This window comes from Homo sapiens, chromosome 7 (genome assembly GCF_000001405.40).
Source record: "Homo sapiens chromosome 7, GRCh38.p14 Primary Assembly".
Lineage (NCBI taxonomy): Eukaryota > Metazoa > Chordata > Mammalia > Primates > Hominidae > Homo > Homo sapiens.
The window spans coordinates 30,682,111-30,702,014 of NC_000007.14; the positions used below are offsets into that span (position 1 = coordinate 30,682,111).

General features: G+C 53.2%; 1 protein-coding gene and 2 long non-coding RNA genes across 9 annotated transcripts in view, besides 2 other annotated features; 2 read left to right on the forward strand and 1 right to left on the reverse strand.

Annotated features, from left to right (window-relative positions):
• CRHR2 (corticotropin releasing hormone receptor 2) overlaps positions 1-17,993 on the reverse strand; it is a 48,162-nt gene extending 30,169 nt beyond the window's left edge. For 3 of the 7 annotated variants that reach the window (NM_001202482.2, NM_001883.5, NM_001202483.2), the window contains exon 1: positions 68-346. In NM_001202482.2, the coding sequence (NP_001189411.1) occupies positions 68-170 (103 nt within the window). In that variant the 5' untranslated portion in view covers positions 171-346. Of the gene's footprint in view, positions 1-67; positions 347-4,278; positions 4,506-7,080; positions 7,175-17,833 lie in introns of those variants that run through there. The other 4 variants (XM_047419893.1, XM_047419892.1, NM_001202481.1 and 1 more) reach the window with 3 other exon arrangements.
• Positions 368-417: a silencer, noted in NCBI's record as "silent region_18070". NCBI's record gives its function as "represses an Ori minimal core promoter by ATAC-STARR-seq in GM12878 lymphoblastoid cells {active_cell/tissue: GM12878}" and the evidence as "EXISTENCE:reporter gene assay evidence [ECO:0000049][PMID:35858748]".
• On the forward strand, positions 509-4,661 carry LOC124901608 (uncharacterized). The gene is made up of 2 exons (XR_007060275.1): positions 509-963; positions 3,607-4,661. It is a non-coding gene; the product is annotated as an uncharacterized LOC124901608 (long non-coding RNA).
• Positions 6,226-6,736: an enhancer, noted in NCBI's record as "H3K4me1 hESC enhancer chr7:30727952-30728462 (GRCh37/hg19 assembly coordinates)". NCBI's record gives its function as "activates a minimal SCP1, AML or CMV promoter by ChIP-STARR-seq in naive H9 embryonic stem cells {active_cell/tissue: H9 hESC(naive)}" and the evidence as "EXISTENCE:reporter gene assay evidence [ECO:0000049][PMID:30033119]".
• The window catches only part of LOC105375220 (uncharacterized), a 48,157-nt gene continuing 43,884 nt past the window's right edge, over positions 15,632-19,904 (forward strand). Inside the window, exon 1 of the long non-coding RNA XR_001745154.2 lies at positions 15,632-16,120. This is a non-coding gene — a long non-coding RNA (uncharacterized LOC105375220). The remainder of the gene's footprint in view (positions 16,121-19,904) is intronic.

Below are 19,904 nucleotides of genomic sequence, written 5' to 3' on the forward strand. Positions count from 1 at the left end.
TCAGGGGCGCACCCAGCGCGCGAGAGAAGGAGCCCGCGCAGCCTCCGACCGCTCGCCTCCCGCCTACCCTCGGGGTCCAGGGGTGGCCCCCAGCCGTCCAAGAGCAGCTCTTCAGCCAGCGCCAGGCTGCAGTTGGCCTCCAGCAGGCTGTGGAGCAGTGCCGCGTCCATCGCGTCCCGCAGCCGCGTGCGGAGAGGGAGTGGGAGTGCGCGCCCGGCGTGACTGCGAGGGAGTGGACGCGAGAGTGAGCGGCCGAGAGGGCGCGGGGTCCTGGCCCCCGCCAGCCCAGCCCCGATCTCCCGGGCAGCCTTTGGGCGCCACCTCCGGTCGCCCAGAGCTGTCAAGTGGGGACCTTCCCGGAGAGGAGCCGCCGAGTGCACGGAGCTGCGGGTACAGCCGCTCCGCCGCGGCCAATGGCTGCGCCGGGGGGCGGGGCCGGGCGGCTCCTCTCGGAGGGGCTCAGTCTCCAGCCCCCGGGCCCTCCACCCTGCCCAAAGTACGGCTTCTCAGTTCGCAGCTCTCTTCCACTCGCGGCGTCCAGAGGAGGGCGGTGGGCTGGAGAGCGTGGGCCTGGGGTGACGGAATGCTCTGTGCGGGGATCGCAGGCCCCCGAGCTGCAGGGGGCAGCAAAGCGCGCCCACCTGCCCGCCTGCCCGAGGAGAACACCGCAGCTCTGCTAATCGAGGGACAGCCGCAACCCAAAGTTCGGCAGCTTTCCGCCTGAGCTTCCCCTCCCTGAGCGAGGACACTGGAGGGAGGCAGAGACGGAGAGCCCATGGGCAGATCTGCATCCTCCAAAAGCCTCCATAGCCTCTGGGAAGGAAATGTATCGAGGAGGCCTGGAGGGAAGCAGGGAGACACCCATGAGTCTAATGAGATCAAGTGGCCTGAGTGGGTTGAAGTCCTTGGATCAGACCGTGGAAGCTGGAATGGAGAGAGATTTCGGAGGGGCAGCCAGACCTGGTGAGGAGGAACTGGAGTGGGTGGCTGGTTTTAAGTAGGAGCCCAGAGGCAGGGATAACATCAGGTCTCCTGCTTGAGTGACTGGGTGGCCATTTAATCAGATGGAGTAAGTCTAGGGGAGAAATTGGCTGAAATTATCTGGAAGGCTTTATACACCCAGTTGTTAGTGCCTTGGGCACCAGAAAGAATAAAGGAAGAAGTGAGAATGTGTCTCTCTTCCTCAAGGCTTGGGCAGGGCTTCACCTGACCCTGGTTTCCACACCAGTAGCGGGGCAGGGGCGGGGAGAATCAGGCCCCACAGCAGGTGTGGAGGAGCTGGAAACCTCCCCAGAGAACTTGCCCAGGCCCCCCACCCCACCCTGGCCCAGAATGCCTCCTTGGTGATCTGCTGTGGCTGCACCCTCAGAGTGCCCAGGGCGGGCCTGCTGTGTCTGCCAGCTGAGTGGGGCATTGGGCTCGGGAAGCAGGGCCTGGGGTAAGGCATGCTTCCACTCAGGCTGCATTTTGGTCCAGCCTCTGACTCTGCTCTCCCTGCCATGGTACCCCAGGCAGGATGCTTGCCCTCTCTTCTGGAGCTTTCTCCATCAGTGAAATCTTCCCCGAGGCCCCTCTCAGCTCTGAGACTCTCTGGTTCTGAGTTATGAGACGGAGAGTCTGGGGAAGACATACATGTGTGTTGTGTGTTGTTTGTTTCTATCTTTAGAGGGCAAGGAGAGCTGGAACCTAGTCTCAGAAACCAGTCCTGTTCCCCTGCCATCCTCCACATAAACCTAAGCTGCTAGGAAAGGCTGAAACCACCATGAACTAGCACCATGCCCTGGGCAGAGAGAGGCAAAGCAGCAGGCAGGCTGCTTTTGTGTGCTCCGCTCTCACCAGCCTCCATATTAATGGTGCTGTCACTGCCCAGGCAGAGCGAGTGAGACCACACTAAGACCAGGGCTGAGCCCTGGAATCTCTCCAGGGCCTGCTGACTGGCAGGAACAAGATGCTGAGCAGCCAGCCAGGTCTACCCTCTGCCTCCTGAATGGACAGTGAGAGCCCAGGCTCAGCTCTGGGCAGCTGCAGAGGTAGAGGTTCCTTGGTCTTCATATTATCCAGTGCCAGGAGCAGGGGAGGACCTAGGCAGAGTCCTACCCTCCGCTCCTAGACTGAGCCCTGTTACCCAGGGTCCCACACAGGCCAGAGGGTGGCTGGCCAGGTCAGCCCATGTATTCACAGGGCAATAGTGTCCCTCATATACAAGGGATAGCCCTTCACACAGCACGGTGCAGCACAGAGGAAGGGAGAAATCCTAAGCCAAGCTTAAGTTATTATCCTTGTTCATTACTGCAGCCACCACCTAGGTGGTGCCTAAAGCACCTATAGATGCAGCTATGTCAAGAGGTGGTGTGCTCCCAATGACCAGAGGCCAGGGACTTCTCATCTCATGCAGATTTCTGCAGAACAGAGGGTTGGCCTGGGTGAACTGGATTGCTCTTAACTGGGAGAGCTCACATACCAAAGATTCTTCTGGGAAGTGACCATTTCAGTGGCAGAGTCAAAGGCTGTTCTGCATCCTGAATGAGCAGTTGGGGTCTGAGCACATACCCACAGACCCACAGACCCGAGGTCCCCTGGATGTGGGGCCATTTCTTCATGGATCTTATTATTATAGGCACAGTTGTCATTCGAGATGTGACAGAGGGAAAACTAGAAAAGGTAGCAGTTTGGGAACAAATTGATTTTACAGCTCACTTTAGTGTCTGCAAACAGGCAAATGAGGAAGAAATTGGGAAGAGCCCCAAAATTCCCTCAATTTTACTAAATCCAAGTACAAACAAACAAAGACAGGGGCATTTTTGCTAACTAAAGAAGCAGAGGTAGATTAGAGGCTTTGGGATAGTGATGGGTTCCCAGCGCTGCAGGCCAGCCCCATCCCAGCTGGAGGCCAGGAATTAGGGGATAAGTATTTGGAACAGTTTGTGTGTCCCCAAGCTGTTGGGGACAGGTTGGCAAATAGGTTCAGGGAAGTGTGACAGGTACTTTGGAAGACCCCTGTGTACCATGAGCAGCAGAGTAAGGCAGGTGCCTCTGGTGCCCTGCATCCCATCCCATGGCCCACCTCTGATGTCAGCTGCAGCAGCAGTGGACAGTTCCAGGCCAGCTCAGACACACTTGCAAAGCCTAATACATGGCATCAAACAGGCATGTAGGCACAACAGAATCACACACAGAGCCACAGTTATGCATCTTCACCATGCACACACATTCTCTCTCTAATTCATCCCCTACCACTCAAATGTCAGCTGGAAAACAGGATTTAAAGGGACAGGATGCATCTTTGCTTCTCTAAGGGACTGTCCTTGGTTAGACTACATAGAGAGGGAGTCTATTCAGGCACAGCTGGAATAGTCGTGGTGTTTCCTGGGAATTACGACGGGGTTGCTGAGGGCACAGAGGTTCCAGAGGGGCCTGAAGGTGCTGCACTTTTGCCCTGTAGCACTGGAGACAGGGGTCCCAGGCCAGGCACCCCCTCCTCACCCTATCCTACTCCACTGCAGGACAGAGGAATTGGCCTGGTGTCTTCATGTCAAACCATGGGACTAAGCTGTGGGGACAGAAAGGACTCTCAGTGACATCCAATCCCACATTCTTGTTTTACAGATGGACAATAGGATTCCCAGACAAGCAAAAGAGGTTTCCCTCCCTTACTTCTCCCAGGCCATCCTCATCTCTGCAGCAGCCCAAATGGGCTCCCTGTCTCCTCATGGCAGATAAAACGATGTTTTATAATTACGATCCTGTCACTCTTCCTCATAGGAGTGCCGCCAACCCATTGCCCTTGAGATGGAGACCACCTCTTTGGTATTGCAAAGAAGGTCCTTCGTAATCATCTATCCCTCATCCTCACCCTTCTGCTCCATTTGAAAGGCCCTCCAGAACAACATGTCATTCCTGGGAACCATCTTTGGTATTGCAAAGAAGGTTCTTCATGATCATCGTCCCCCATCCTCACCCTCCTGCTTCATTTGAAAGGCCCTCCAGAACAATGTGTCACTACCAGAAACCATTCGCTATCTCTGTTCCTTGTTTGTATTTCTGCACTGGAAATGGCCTTACAGCTCCACACTCATCCTTCAGACATGCAGCTCCTTGGTGACCCCATCTGCTGGGTGCTGGCCTATGTCACATCCAGGTTGCTTTTTATTCATTGTCTCATCTACCAGCCCATGCCTCCCCAAGGGCAGGGCTGGTCCTGGTTCACTAACCCATCCCCAGCACCCATTGGAATGCTCTAGACTTCAGCCCAGTGAGTCACTAAGAAAGGACAGATACCTTGGCAGAAGAGCTGAGGAAAGCCCAGGTCCCTGTCTTCAGGCCAAGGCTCTCTTCCCATTTGACCAACCCTGGCATATGTGTGTGTGTTGCATTGAGGAATTATTTCAAGGTATCTTTGAATCCATTCGGATTCTTGGCCAGGTGCAGTGGCTCACACCCATAATCTCAGCACTTGGGGAAGCCAAGGTAGGCAGATTGCTTGAGCACAGGAATTCAAGACCAGCCTACAAAAAATAATAAAAAATAAATAAATAGTCCATTTGGATTTTTATATCATCTATGGATAGGATAAATAATATGCCTCATAATATATGCCCTAATATTTTTCAAATATATGTAGCTGCCTCTGTGATGAATAAAATAGAAATAATCTATTTAAACCCTGCCTGAAGTCATAATTGCTCTGTGATTTTGCATGCGTTGCCTTTTTCAGGGGCATACAATTGAATTGATCATAGATTCGTGACCCTTTGTCATTATTAGTCTGTGCATTAGCCCATGCATGGCTTAACTTTATTTTTTAGTCTTTATTTTATTTAGTCTTTTTATTGTATGTAGTAGACAATATAATAAGCCTACCACCCAATTGGAAACTACATCATTACCAGTCACTTATCTATTTATTTCTATTCTCCTTCCCCAGAGGGAACATTCCCTTGACTATTGCATTTGTCATTCTCTGGCTCATATTTTTTTTCAGTTTTCTCACAGGTATGTACATCTAAAAGATATAGTGTTTGGTTTTACTTGGTTTTGAACTCTGCGTTAGACATGATGCATTTCCCCAAGCAGTGGACACTGAAAAGAAGGTCATTATCAATTTGGGGACTTGAGAAATGATTCCTGAAGCTCGAGGGGCTCCCTAGCAGCCTCTACATCCACCATCCGGTCATGGTTCATGTGGGGTGATGCATCCCCAGAGTGGCTGCTAGGCAGCGTCACAAGCGATGCGGTGGTTGAATATTTAATGACATGGGGAAATGTTCACTCTGAGTTATAAGAGGAAAAAGCAGGCGACGAAACTATGGACACACTATTATCCCATTAAAAAAAAAAGAAAAGAAAAAGAAAATAAAAAAACAATTGAACATGAGGCTCTATGAATGCATAAATTCTTGAGGGATATGAGGCATTATAAAAATTCCTGGGTTGTGGGAGAATGAGTACTTATCATCTTCTCCTTTGAGTTAAATTTTTTTGTGCCCAATTTTATAGAAATCATGTGGATCCCTTTTGCAAATGGATGAATGCTGTTAGAAGCTGAACAGGCAAGGCTGTATGTTTGGAGAAGCTGGGACCCTATCCGCTGCACTCAGAGCGGGGACCATCCGCCAAGGGAGACAGGGAAGGGTCTGTGCCACCTGCTGGAGGGAGGGCAGAGGAAGGCAGGGAGAAGGCTATGGGTCTGCTGACAAACCCACGCTGCCTCTGAGGGTGAGGGAAGGTTGGGCTTTCCTGAAGGGAGGGGCCTCCATTTCCTGTCTGATGCTGGCATGGCCTGTGCTAGGTGTCCCCGTGGGCTCTCATTCAGCCTTCACTGTGAGCCTCCGAGGTGGACTTAGATCCATTGCTAAACAGATGAGGAAACTAGCTTCAGATGGTGTCACAGGCTGAACTGTGTTGCTCCAAAATTTGTATGTTGAAGTCCTAACTCCCAGTACCTCAGAATGTGGCCTTGTTTGGATTTAGGGTCTTCGATGAGGTGATTAAAGTAAAGTAAGGTAAGCGGGCTTTAATCCAATAGGACTGGTGTTCTTAGAAGAAGAAGAGATTGGGACACAGACATGCAGAGGAGAGACCATATGAAGACATAGGGAGAAAGATGGCCATCTGCAAGCCAAGTAGGGAGGCCTCAGGAGGAACCAACCCTGCCCACAGCTTGATCTTGGCCTACCAGCCTCCAGAATGGTGATGAAATCAGCTTCTGCTCAAGCCCCCAGTCTGTGGTGCTTTGTTCCAGTGGCCCCAGGACACTAATACAGATGGGTTAGGTGAGTTTCCAGGGGCTGGGCGAGGCCGCTGGGTGGAAGAGCTAGGATCCAGACTTGGATCTACCTGATCCCAACACCGGAGCTATTGACTGCCCCAGTGGAAGGAGAACAGGCAGCAAGACTTTCTCTTTGACGCCTGGCTTGGGCAGTGCCTGTAGGCTGGGTCTGGGTGCTGGCCAGCACCCTTGTCTCCTTGTGCCCTGGCAGTGGCCCCAGGCCCGAGCAAGGGTCACCCCCACTCCCATCCTGTGGATGCAGACCTGGGAAGGCCAGGATACAGGGTGGGACACTGGAGACATCTCTCTGGAACCCAGCAGAATCCAGGGCTCTGTGCAGCTCTGCAGTGGCTGGCCCTGACCCTGTGAATCAGCCACTGGAAACCTCTGAGGGGCCAGAACTCAGGGCCGGGCTGCTGCTTTGCAAGTCCTTACCAGGAAGTCACACCTGTAGCCACGGCAACCAGAGAATGTTTACCACCTTCTGCCAGTTTCCCTGGAGTTGGAAAGCTGAGGGGTCATCCCCTTCTTGGACTCCTGAATGCCAGCCCAGCTGACTTCCATCGTGGGAGCTGGGAATGGGGAGTGGCCTCCCAGCCAAGCCCTTCATTATCAGTGGCAAGCCTGAGCCTAGAATGGGGAAGGGCCTGCGTAAGGGCCCTCAGCAAGGCAGAAATCAAACCAGGACTGGAAACCAGCACCCCACCCACCACCCTGCTGAGCCTGGGCTGGCCCCAGGAAAGCCTCTTCCTCCCGCAGGGCCCACCCACATCTCCAGGGGCTGCTGCAGGGTGGTGGCAGAGGGTACCTACCTGAGAGGTTGGTGAGGGTCATGATGGTGTGGCAGTACTGCTCCAGAAGTGCCCACAGGGGCTGGTCTTTGGGCATCTGGCTCTGCCCGGCTGCCTAGGGGACAGCAAGGATGAGGGTCAAAGATCAGGCCCAGGCTAGCCATTGACAGTGCCTGTCTGCCCCCATCCTATCCTATCACTCATCCCTTACTCCTCTTAGTACAGAGAGGGAGAACAAGGAGGGAGATGCCCATGGCCACATGGAGCAGCAGCAGTCTGGCCTGGGCTGGACCGAAGAAAGGCCTCAGAAGTGGCCCAATGCAGTGTTGCCTCCTAGGCAGGGGTCTGCTCTGTCCATCCCTCAGCCCCCAAGGCTGTCTCCTCCTCAGGCTGGGATGTGTCACTGTCATGGGGCTTGTGTCCTTCTGTCAGCAAAGCTGGGTGGGGGGTGGGTTCCATTAGTTGTTCATTCAACCAACAAATATTTGCAGAACACCTACTGTGTGTCAGGCCCTGGCTGGGGGAACTGATGGGTGTCCTTCAGGTAGTCCCAGGCCAGGTAGGGATCCTCTAGACTTAGAAAGTGCAGAAGGAAGAGGAGGCAAATGCATGATTTAACTTTGTTTCCCTGTCACACAGGTAAGCAGGCACTTGCAACGAAGAGCATTAGGTTAATACGTGAGAGAAGTGCCTAACCTGGATTCAGGAAGACAGGGAAGGCTTATTGGGAGAGGTAGCATTTTGGGGCACCCAGAAAGATGAGTAGGGACAAAAGAAGGGACCATAGGGCCAGCTTAGGCACTCACTAGGGAAGATATGTGATTGTTGCAATAATGGCAATTCCATCCAAAAGATAGAAAAGCACCCAGGATCCCGTCTCCTAAAAAATCATCAGAGTGGGTGCTGGATGTGCACGGATAAAGTAGATGTGGGCATGTGCACCCGTGAAGGGACCATCTTCTGGTGGGAAAGATGGATAGGATGTACAGTTTTACGGCATGTACGATTTACTGAGGAGGGCAGGGGTAGCATCACAGAAGAGGTCATGCTAATGTGGGTTTTGAAGGGTGAGTAGGAGCTTGCCAAGCTGATCAGGCCAGGAAGGGCATTCTAGTTAGAGAGCACAGCATGTGCAAAGGCAGAGAGGCTGGAAAATGCATGGTGTATGACTGAACGAGAGCAATTCACTCTAAATTCTAACGCTTGGCCCCATTCCTCCCAAGACCACTCCTTTTCTTGCTCTATGGTCAGCGTGTGTGTGTGTGAGTACATGCACACACGTGTGTGACTTTTGTGCCCCTCCCAACCCTGAGATTCCTGATTCTGGGATTCCAGAAGACACTGCTCCATCAGTGTGCAGCCCCTTCTCTTCCTGCTGCCTGTCAGATGTACTCTTCCTGGCAGCTGGGTCAATGTTTGCCCCAGGATGTCCCCAGGGGCCAGAGCCCAAAAGCCCTCAAACATCACGTTCTCCACATTGGGCTCAGTCCATTTCCTGTGCTGGGACTGGAAGCTGCATGCTCAGCCCTCACCACGTCAGCCTGGAGCTTCTAATGAATGACCCCACCTGCTCAGACAGGAGAGTGCTGCCCCCTGCACCCCTCCCGGAAGCCTAGGGTGAGGCAGACACCACTTGGAGGCACTCACTGCACCTGTGTTCTGCCAAACTCCCACCCCACGAAGTGAGGTAGAGAGGGAAATGCAGGGGAGCAGGTGTGTGTGTTGTGTGTGTGTCTCGGCACTGTGGGGGCCTCCTGAGCTGTCAGCCAGGAGTTCTGGCCTCTTGGCCTGCAGGACAAACACTGGGGGCCATGGTCTTGCTGTCCACATATCAAGGGAGCTGCTGAGAGTTCCTCAGCTCCAGCTTCTCGGGCATCAGGAAGACCTTGCTGACCCCGTGAGCCACTGCCAGGGGTTGGGGGGCTGGGGAGGGGAGGGAACACTCCAGACACTGAGACCTTCCAGGAAGAATTCTCAGGCCATACTTTTGGCTGGGTCTGGGGACAGTGAGGGCTCTAGGTCTGACCCATCACCCTCTTTATGGCGCCCATCGCCCTTGTTTGAGAAGCAGCTAGTAATGCCCTCTGTGGGAGGGTTCCCAGTGAATCCCAGCCTCTGGAGGTCAGGGTACGGGCAACCCAGAGGCATGCAGTGTCCACGGTGCGCCCTTAGGCAGATGCAGCCATTCCATCTCAGATGTTAGTGCCTTCTCTCAAAGCCCCTGAGCTGTGACATTTGTAGCCCCATCACTGAGGTGATCTCCTGTTTGACTTTACCGGGGTTTCTGACACATGCTTTGAACCCATGATGGGGTCAGGGCATCCTCCCCCAGGACTCAGGCAATGTGGGATGGTCCTTGCCTTGGATTCTGTGGTCTCAGGCTGTGGCCATCTTCTGGCTGAGCAAGCACTTTGTGGGGAGTGGGCACAGGGTTACCATACTCTGCAACTGATGCTTGCTCTTTGGGTCTGGGCAAAATTTGGTACAGGCATATCAGAAGTAATTTTTGGAGTAATCCCAGATCCTGGCTTCATCTCCTATAACTTCTCTGCTGGCCCCAAAAGCTGACACAGCCAAAGATACTCATTCTCTTCAAGGGGCTTGTTTGGGTGGATTTGACTCAGTCCGAAGTCGTAATCTACCATGCAGGTGTCAATTTTGGGCAGAGCCCCTAGTGGTGGTGGTGATGGGTGGGCAGGGAGGAGGAGGAAAGAGAGGCTGCTGTCCTCAGAAAACACATGGTCCAGGAAAGTCAGGGACAGACATATCTTGGATAATCCCATTCCAAGGACTTGAGAAGAGCTGTCAGAGTGGGTAGAGTGCACACATCCCAGTGTGCAGAGTTCTGGGGATGCTGGGCTTAGCTGTGTGGCCTTGGCAAGCCACTTAAGTTCTCTGAGCCTTGATCTCCTCATCTTTAAAATGGGGATAATACAAATCCCACAGGATTTTGTGTGCATTCAACAAATTACTGTAGGTCAAGAGCCTGGCACGTAGAATGCGCACGCTGAATGGTGACTCTTGGCAAGGACTTTAGGAGGGGGCTAGTTAGAGAGCTCAGTGATGGGAGGTCGAGTCCCCTCATCGGGACTCCCAAGGCCCAGCTCAAGCTCTTCCTGCCCAGAAAAGCTTCCTGGAAACCCTGTGCCCCCCTTCCCCAGCTCTCCAGTCAGTGTGGGACTCCGTTTGCCCTCAGCAGCTTTCCCTCGGACAATGGGCCCCTGAAGGTGCAGCCTCCATCTCCCTCACTGAGCTCGCCCCTCAGCGGTGCTCAGTGAATGCTCATTGAGGAAACCGAAGGCCGTTCGGCGAACTGGACATTGGAGCGGAATCTAAAAGGATGGAAGGACTTGGGCCATAGGAACAGCAGTAAGAAGAGGAGAAAGTGACCCAGGTAGAAGCTGAGAAAGCAAACCCTCAGAGGCAGGCGAGCCCAGGGCCCACACAGGAAACTGCACCATCTGGTATGGAGGTGCCAAGAGAAGAAGAGGGGAGACAGGCAGGAAGGGGAGGCTTCTTTCACGTGAAGTCAGCACTTACTCTAGTGCTAGACCTGCCTCTAAATGCCCTACAGAAGACAGCGGATTGAATCCTCACGGCAGTCTCTGAGGTAGCTGCAAATAACCCCATTTCACAGATGAGGCTGCTGAGGCCCAGGGAAGCGAAGTCACCCACCAAAGGTCCCACTTCAGGTAAGGGGCAGAGGCAAGATTCAAGCCCAGTCAGTTGGTAGGTTATGGCTTGGTCAGGTTCCCATGGGAAGAGCTGATCCTGGGTGAGGAAGTGAAGACCTGTGGGTCACGGATGCTGAGAGGGCCCCAGCCCCAGACTGGGTGGCTGTGGGGCTCAGGAGGCCGCTCAGGTGAGAAGCCCCTCTCTTGCCACAGAGGAACAGGGGCCTTGGAGGCAGACACCTGGGTCACGGGAGGCAGACCCAGCCAGTGGGCAGGACCTTGCACAAGAGAGATGAGGAATTATAAATATTAGGTCTTAGCCCCCAGTTCCTGACACAGAATCCCTAAAACCTTTGGAATTTCCTGGGTGACAGGAGTGTCGTTAGTTCTAATGAGGTGACTCTTGGTGGGCTGCCAAATGCAGCTGGTTACCAGAGAGACCAAGCCATGGTTAGAAGGTTGGAGCTTTCAGCACCTTCCTACACCTTGGGGAAGGGAGACGGGCTGGAGATTGGGTTAATATGCCTCTGTAATGGAGCCTCCGTGAAACCCCTCAAAGGTGGGATTGGGGGCTTCTGGTTGGTGACCACCTGGTGGTGCGGGGAGGGTGGCATCCAGTGAGGGCACGGTGCTCTGCGCCCTCCCCACAGCTTGGCCTGTGTGCCTCTCCATCTGGCTGTTCAGCTATATCCTTTGTGATAGACTTTAAAATAAACCTGTAAATAGAAATGTTTCCTTGAGTTTTGCAAAATGTTATAGCACACTATTGAACCCAAAGAGAGGGTCATGGGAACTCTTGATTTATATAGCCTGTCGGTTGGGAGAATGAGAAGCCCTGTCTTGCGACTGGCATCTGAATTGGGGGCAGTCTTGTGGGACTGAGGCTTTACCTGTGGAGGCTGATGCCAACTCCAGGAAGATAGCATCAGAATTGAATTGAATTGGAGGACACCCAGTTGGGGTCCCCAGAGAAGTGGAGAATTGCTTGGGGCAGAAAATCCACACTTTTGGTGTCAGAGGTGTGTAAGAGTGTAGAGAAGAAATGGAATGTTTTCCTGTTTCCATTTTTCTTTCTTCTGAGGGGAACGTCTTGGACACCTGTGCTGATTAGCTCTTGGCTGTTCTAGGGCAGAGAGCTCTCCACCATGCACACCCCAGCCCATGAGACTGACTGTAGGCTGTGGGAGCACAGGGTCCACATCTGTGTCCCCAGTCCCCAGTTCAGAGCCTGGCACACAGCAGGTGCTCAATAAATGTTTGTCAACTGACTGACTGCTTGGATGGATTAATGAAACCATGGCCCCCTCAGCCAGGTAGAGCTACATCCCCACCCCTAATCCCGGGAGACCAGGTTGTGGGCTTTTCCTGCTTGTTATATTTCCTTCTCTCTGAACTTTGCTCTGAGCCTAGCCTGTGTGAGGGCCCAGGTCCTGGTTCCCGCCTCTCAGTGCCTGGCATGGGAGGCCCTCACCTTAGAAGAGGCAAAGGAGAGGCCCTGGCTGGGGAAGGATGCAGGAATGAGAGCCAAGACTCCAGCTGCTCTTCTTCCACCTTGGGTCCTATCCAAACAGAACCTGTGCCCGGGGCCCCGACAGGCCTCAAAGGTATCGCCTCCCTGGAACCTGGGGGTCTGGCCCAGTCTAGTGTTCCCTCCAGGGCCTGGCGACAAAGCTTCTGTCTAAATTTAGCCCATGGTATAAGCTGGGGAGATTTACAGGACCATGTGTCCTGGGCCCAGGCTGCCAGGGACCGGAGGGGAATGGGGTGAGCTCCCTCCCTGCTTTCTCCCTCTGCTTCCCAAGGTCAGAGAAGGACTCAGCTGGGAGGGGCAGCATTCCACCCCATGTTTGCTTTCATTCAGTGGATTTCATTGAGCCTGAGCTCAGGCCCTGCCCCTTAGGGAGCACAGAGTTAGAGGAAGGAGCAAGAGGAGAGGGAAGAGAAGGAGAAGGCTTGGAGGAGAAGACTGGAAAAGAGGGGAGGAGGAGTGCAGAGGAGTAGGAAAAGGGAAGGGAAGAAAGGAGGAAGGAGGAGCAGGGAGGAGAGGGGATGATGAGGAGAGAAGAAGGGGTCAGAAAAGGGAGAGGGGGAGAATGGGGAGGAGAGAAGGAAGGAAGGGGAGGAAGAGGAGTATGGGGGAAGGAGGTGGAGGAGACTGGGAAGAGAAAGGGGAGGAGGTGGGGGAGGAAGGAAGGATACAGGAACGGGGAGGAGGGGGAAGAGGGGAGGAAGGTGGACATGAGGAAGGAGGGGGAGGACGAGGCAGTCAGGCCCTGCACAGACATAGGGGGCAGAAATGGGAGCTGAGACTGGCCGAGGGGCGGGCGAGGGGTGGGGTGTCAGATGAGGGAAGTGGGTCATTGTTTTCTGGTGTGTTCAGGCAGGCTCCTTGGAAGAGGAGACTTTAGATACTCAGTTCTAACTTGTAGGGTGTTGGATGTTGAGTGAGAATCCCCTTGGCCTCCTGGGCAGCTCCCAGCGGCTTTCTTGTTCCTGAGTCTGTGCTCGGCCAAGTTCGTCTTCCTAGGATGCCCCACTCTTCCTTCCCAGTTCCCCTCCAGCTCCCCCGGGAGGCTTTAGGCCTCTCCTCATTCTGCTGTTCTCTCTTCTCTCTGAACGCCCATGAATCCCTCTCCCCTCAGTCCTGCTTGTCTCACCTGTGCCGAGCCCTGGGCCCTGAACACTGACTGGAGTAGGAGGGGGAAGGGGAGGGGAGGGAGAGGTGACTTGGCCCAACATAGGGGCAGGAACTGGCCAGCAGGAGGTCCCGTAGCAGGCCACTTGGCCTAAAGCTATCTCCTTAATTATCAACACATCTAATGTCCAGTTTGCATAAAAGTCACATCTCTTCTGATTTGTTTTGGAGTCTGTCCGAATGTCCTAAAAATAACTTGACATTAAAATTAAATAACATTAAAATTAAAATTTTGTTAAAGGAAAGGAATCTGGAGTCAGGCTGTGGGCCGGAATCCTGGTCCTGCCACATACCAGCTGAGCGGCCCTGGGCACGTGAGCTCACCTCACTTCCTCATCTGCAAAATGGGGAGAGGATGGTTTTAACTCAGGGCGTTGGTATGAAGGTAAAAATAGGTGAGGTGCATCAGTGCCCATGATAGGCCCTGTAGGGCTGCTAAGTAAAATAAAATAAGCTTATTGAATAATCTGTCCCCCATGGGTTTGCAATGACTAAAAATTAGAATGTTGAGAAAGACAAACATCGCATGTTATCACTTACTTGTGGGATTTAAAATTCAAAACAATCGCATGGAGATAGAGAGTGGAAGAATGGTTACCGGAGGCTGGGAAGGGTAGTAGGGGATGGGCTAACAGGTACCAAAAAAAAATAGAATGAATACGACGTAGTATTTCATAGTACAACAGGGTGACTGTAGTCAATAATTTAATTGTACATTTAAAAATAACTAAAAGTATAATTAGATTGTCTGTAACACAAAGGATAAATTCTTGAGGGGATGGATACCCCATTTTACATGATGTGATTTTCTACACATTGCATGCCTGTATCAAAATATCTCATGTATCCCACAAATATATATACCTACTATGTACCCACAAAAATTAAAAATAAAAATTAAGGCCAGGCGCGGTGGTTCACACCTGTAATCCCAGCACTTTGGGAGGCCGAGGTGGGTGGATCATGAGGTCAGGAGATCGAGACCATCCTGGCCAACATGGTGAAACCCAATCTCTACTAAAAGTACAAAAAAAAATTAGCTGGGTATGTTGGCAGGCGCCTATAGTCCTGGCTACTCAGGAGGCTGAGGCAGGAGAATCGCTTGAACCCAGGAGGCAGAGGTTGCAGTGAGCCGAGATTGTGCCACTGCACTCCAGCCTGGGCAACAGAGTGAGACTCCATCTCAAAAAAATAAAATAAAATAATTAAAATTAAAATTTAAAAAGTTAGAATTTTGGAAGAAGTGACTGTAGATAAACTAGCTGTAGATAAAATGGTTTAAATTAAATGAAGTAGAATATGACAGCTAAGAAGATAAAGAGTAGTCCCATAATTCTTAAAGTGCTGCAAATTTGAGATTTAGGAGGAATACAGAATTAAGTAGCCATTGCCCTCAGACAGATTTAAAAAAAAAATACTGAAACACCAACAAAATGGCAAAACTAGAGACTAAATTAGCTAGTGAGGCTAGAAAACGCTCAGAAGGGAGTTGAATTTTTGGGAAAAGTCATTCAATGCATTAGCTGCTGGCAAATGGCCCTGGAGCCCCGGCTCTGCAGACCCTCAGTGTGTGTATGTTAGGGGACACTGTGGACTCGGTCTTTGGTGTGAGCCGGACAGGTCAGGGAGGGTCCAGGGACTGCCAGGGACTTCTCTGTGTTCTGTTCTCTTTGTTGAGCCTTCTTGGGGCAGATGGGCCCACCAGAAGCCAGGACCTGGGGCAAGAGGTCACAGAGGCACCATCCTGAGACCCTGGGGGGTGTCTCGCTGTCCAAAGCTCCAAGGAGCTGGACTTAGTCAGCAGGGGCTGAGAGGCTCCTGTGATCTTCACAGAGTGGGAGGCAAGTGGCATTGCTGAGCCTCTTTAAACTTGTTTCCTGTCTGTAAATAAGTGGTCCCACCTTCCCGGTGTTTGAGTAAGGCGCCTAACACCACTTAACAGCTGCTAGATTACCACCTGCCTCCGGACCAGCTTCCCGAAGGCCTCCACGGGGAATAGGGAGCACCAGGGTCAAGGCTGGGTGGGTTCCTCCAGGCTCTCAGTGTGCCCTGGGCCAGGGCATCCTCTTCACTCAAAAGCACCAGCTGGAACCCTTACAATTGCAGATCAGACCAGGCACCTCCCCTGCTCAGAGAGCTCCCCATGTCCTCAGATCCCACCAGGACCCATACAGCTCTGCAGTCTCCCACATAATGTCTTTTCAGGGTTGGGGCCCTGGGGCCTTACCCCCAACCTGCTCCCCTATCCCTTCCCTTGGACTACCCATCTCCAACTCTGCTATGCTGCCCACCTCCCACCAGGCTCCCCCATCCTGTCAAGGGCCCTCACACCTACACATGCTTCTTCTGAGCCCATTTACTGGAACTTGTAAACACAGACTCCTTTCTTTCCTGCCACACCCGCTTCTGGGCTATAAACACCACAAGAACAGGAACCAGATGAGCGTTCAGACCCTGGATCCTCCCCATGGGCAGTCCTCCTTAAACACTGGATGAATAACTGAGAAGCCTCCAAGGCTGGGCTCTCCTGGGCTGCCTTCCCTCCCGACTGCCTGCTCCAGGTCTCATCGTCTCAGGACCCGGGAAAAAGTCCCATTGCCATGAAGGCCCCGTGAGAGGAAGGCTGGGCTTTGGCGTCAGAAAGGCCGAGGTTTAAGTGCTCTCCAGCTGCTTACATGCTGAGTGGCTGTGGGTAAGTAACTGGTCTCTATCCCACTCCGGGATCCGCAGGAGAGCTAGGCGCAGGGCCTGGGATGACCTCAAGGGACGCTGAGACCACAGTGTTGCCCTGAGAATCCTAGGGCACCTCTGGAGCAGCCAGCAGAAGCTTCCTCCGTCTAACCAGCTTGGGCGGCTGGCAGCATGGACCCCAGAGGGACGGGCTGAGGGGCAACCCTTGCCCCAACACTTGGATCTCCTGGAAGGCACCTATCTGGAAAACAAGTGGGAGAGGGCAAGAGAGCTCAAAGCCCAAGATGTCTTGGGGGCAGAGGGGTGGATGGTGAGCCCCCTGTACAACCTTCACCCATCCCAATTGCAGTCTGCAAAGTCACTCAAAGGACTCAGCAGGTCTGGGGGCCATCTGCCTATCGGACACTGACCACAGCTCAGCATACTACCTGCCTCCCACCTCTCTCCTCCACCTGGCCAGGCCCCCAGGAAGGCAGGGACCCTCATGTCCTCATGCTGTATCTGTGGCGGCTGGCACAAAAGCATAGCTGGCATTCACTGCGTGCTCACACCACACCAAGCATGATGCTGCTTGCTTTACTTGTATTACCTCAATGTTCCTCACAACAAGCTTGTTCAGTAAGCACCGTTGTGATCCTCATTTTACTGATGAGGAAACTGAGGATTTGAGTAACCTGTCCAAGGTCACACATTAAGCAGCAAAGCAGGGATCTGGATTGGTTTTGTAGGCAATTATCTGTTGAATTACTGTTGAATGTATTATCCTCCTTATACGTATAGGGACACTAAGCCCCAGAGAATGGTCCCCAAAGCTGGTCTGTGGCAGAGTCAGGACAGCGACAAGCCTCTTAGCTTCCACAGGCACTACTTTCCAGATTGTGAGGCCTAGGACAGGTCACCCTACCACTCTGAGCCTCAGTTTCCCCATCTGTAAAATGGGGAGAAGGCTGGAGGTGGACCACTCCCACCAGCCTCTCCCCTACTTCTTCAGCTCTCTTTTGATGGTCGCTCTGTGTCCCTTCTCCCCACCTTCCATCGGTGGCCCCTGACTCTGGACAAAGGCACGGGGTGTGGCTGGATGAAGCTCTGAGTCTTGAGAAACCCTTGGAGAGGCTGGTTCTCCCAGAGCCCACTCTGTCCCCATCGCTCATCTGGTACTGGGGGCTGCCTGATTCCAGGCACTGAGAGGAAGGATGGAGACAAGGCAGCAGGGGCAGGAGGTGGCTCTCTGCGGGTCCCTGGGGGTAAGGGTCAGAACTAGGGGTGGGCTGGGGAAAGAAGTCAAGGATCTTGCAGGAGAGATGGAGGGGGGTCATGGGGGTGGGGAGAGAATGGATAGGAGACAGGGAATCTTGGACCCTGAGGTAGTCAAGTTCTGGATGCTAGGATGTCACCCCAGAACCCTCTGCTTATCCACAGGGGTCTCCCAGTCTCATCCTGGCCAGCCTCACAGTTTCATCTTCCCTTCCCCTGCCCCCTCACCCAGGCACGGGATCTCCAATTCATCATCAGACACAAGGATCCCCGATCCAGCCCAGCCACCAGGCCCTGAGACCCCCTCACCCAGGCACGGGATCTCCAATTCATCATCAGACACAAGGATCCCCGATCCAGCCCAGCCACCAGGCCCTGAGACCCCCGCCCCTAGTCATGAGAGCTGGGAGCTCCGTGCTCCTGGCGCCCCACCTCGTGGACTCCCACTCCCTGCACTTACGTATTGGAGCGGCGGTGGGAGGAGGCAGAGCAGGCAGAGGAGGAGGTGTGGGACGTAGAGGAGGCCTGGGGGCCCTGAGGGACCCCTCATGCCAGTAGTGGCTGGGGGTTAGGGACTGGAGCCTGCTGCCCAGCACGGTGGTCACACCCTGGCCAGCCCCACCCCACCCGGCCCTGGAGGGGAGGCCAAGGTAAGGCCTTGGGCATGAGGAGGTATTCTCCACCCACTTCTTCCACAGGGCAGTGGTGACCCCGCCCCACAGCCCACAGCCTCCAGGTTATTTATAGCTGGTCCCAGACAGCTGCTGCTACCCAGCCAGCCAAGGGGCTATGCTCTCCATCCAGCCTGCAGAGAAGGGGTTAATGCCTTCTATCGGCTGCCAGCATTGCCCGGGGCTGTAGCTCCCCAGGTGGGAGAGAGGAATTGAGACAGGCAGGAGGGGCCTAGGCTGTGGTCCCTGCTTCAGCACAGGGTTGGGCTGCCCTGGGTCTCAGCTGAACCAGCACTGCCTAACACCTATCTGAGGAGCTTTTAACAGGTGCTAATGCCTACTGGGATGACTGAGATGGGAGTGTGGATGCTGGGTTAGATAGTACTGTATCAATGCTACATCTGCTGATTCTGATACTGTACTGTGGGTAGGTAAGAGAATGTTCTCATTCTTGGAAAATACACATTTAGGATTAAAGGGGCACCATGTTTCCAACATACTTTCAAATGGTTCAGAAATAAACTCAGATAGATACATAGATAGAACAAGAGAGCAGATGGGGCAAAATGTAAATTGTTGGTAAATCTGGAAAAGGGGTATATGGATATGCTTTGGATCATTCTTCCAACTTTTCTGTACGTTTGAAATTCTATCAAAATAAAATGCTTTCAAAAAAAAAAAAAAAAAACCCAACCGACAGCAAATACAGCCATGGCAGGGCTCACCCAGAGATTCCAATGAAGTAGCTTGGGATGGGGCCCAGGTGTCTGTCTGTATGGGGCCCAGGTTCCATTTCAGGAAATGGTTAGGGATCCTGATATCAGGTGGCTGAGCAGTGCTGTTCTTGGCGGGGACAGGTTCAACCTGGGGCTGGGTCAGGGCTCATGAGGTGAGGTCTGTTCTTCCAGAGCCTCAGAAGCCTCCTTAGGAGCTGTTCCTGACAGGTGGGCCTGGTGCAGGGGGTTTAAAAGCTTAAGCCACAGTTGCACCTTGCTTGTTGTTAGGATCTGAGGGGAAAGCATGTGAGGAATGTGATTAGTGGGGCACCAAACTTTCTCCTGGAGATGCAGGCATGGTGGAGAGAGACCTTGGAAAACTCAGTCCCGATTTAAGTAACTCAGACACTCTGTGCTCCTTCCGGTCTCCCTATCTAAGACATGGGACACTTTTCTGTCCTTGAGTGCTTCCTCCCCACCCTCAGCCCCTTCCTCCAGGCAGCCTTCCTGGCTGTTCCAGGTCCCACCTCCCTCTCCTGTGAAATCTCACAGGTCTGAGTCTGAAGCTCTGCCTCGCTGGTGTGGACTGTTCTCCAAGCTCTGGGAGGATAAGGATGAATGTGGATGTGCCCCAACCTTCCTCTCCTTGTTTTTTCTTCTCCCTTCCCTCCTATTTTGTACAGAGCTTAGTCTCAGTGGTACAGGGAAATCTTTATAGGAAAAATGGAGGAAGAATTGATCGGATTCCTCATTTATTTGAAGGTGGCAGGGTGAAAACCCTATCCCAAGTCCTGGGGCAGGATTTGGCTTTCCCGGACCCAGCCAGATGGGCTTGGTCAGAGAGGGCTCCTTGTAGAAGGTGGATACCTCCTACAAAACATCATAAGCTGGGAAGGACTTTGAGAGCTGGGCAGACTCTGAAAGATGGCTGGGACAGTTCCCTTCAGCAGCCTTCAGCTGTAGGTCTCCAGGGGCCAGCCTAATAGCAGGCACCAAGAGCAGAGGCCAGCCTCAGAGTGTGCAGGGACATGGGAAGGAGAGGCATGGGGAACCCATGAGACCTGGCATCCATAACTGATGGGAGGTGGGACATGGCACAGGTGCTGGGCCAGCTCAGGGGAGTGAGAGGGCACTTCCTGGGAAG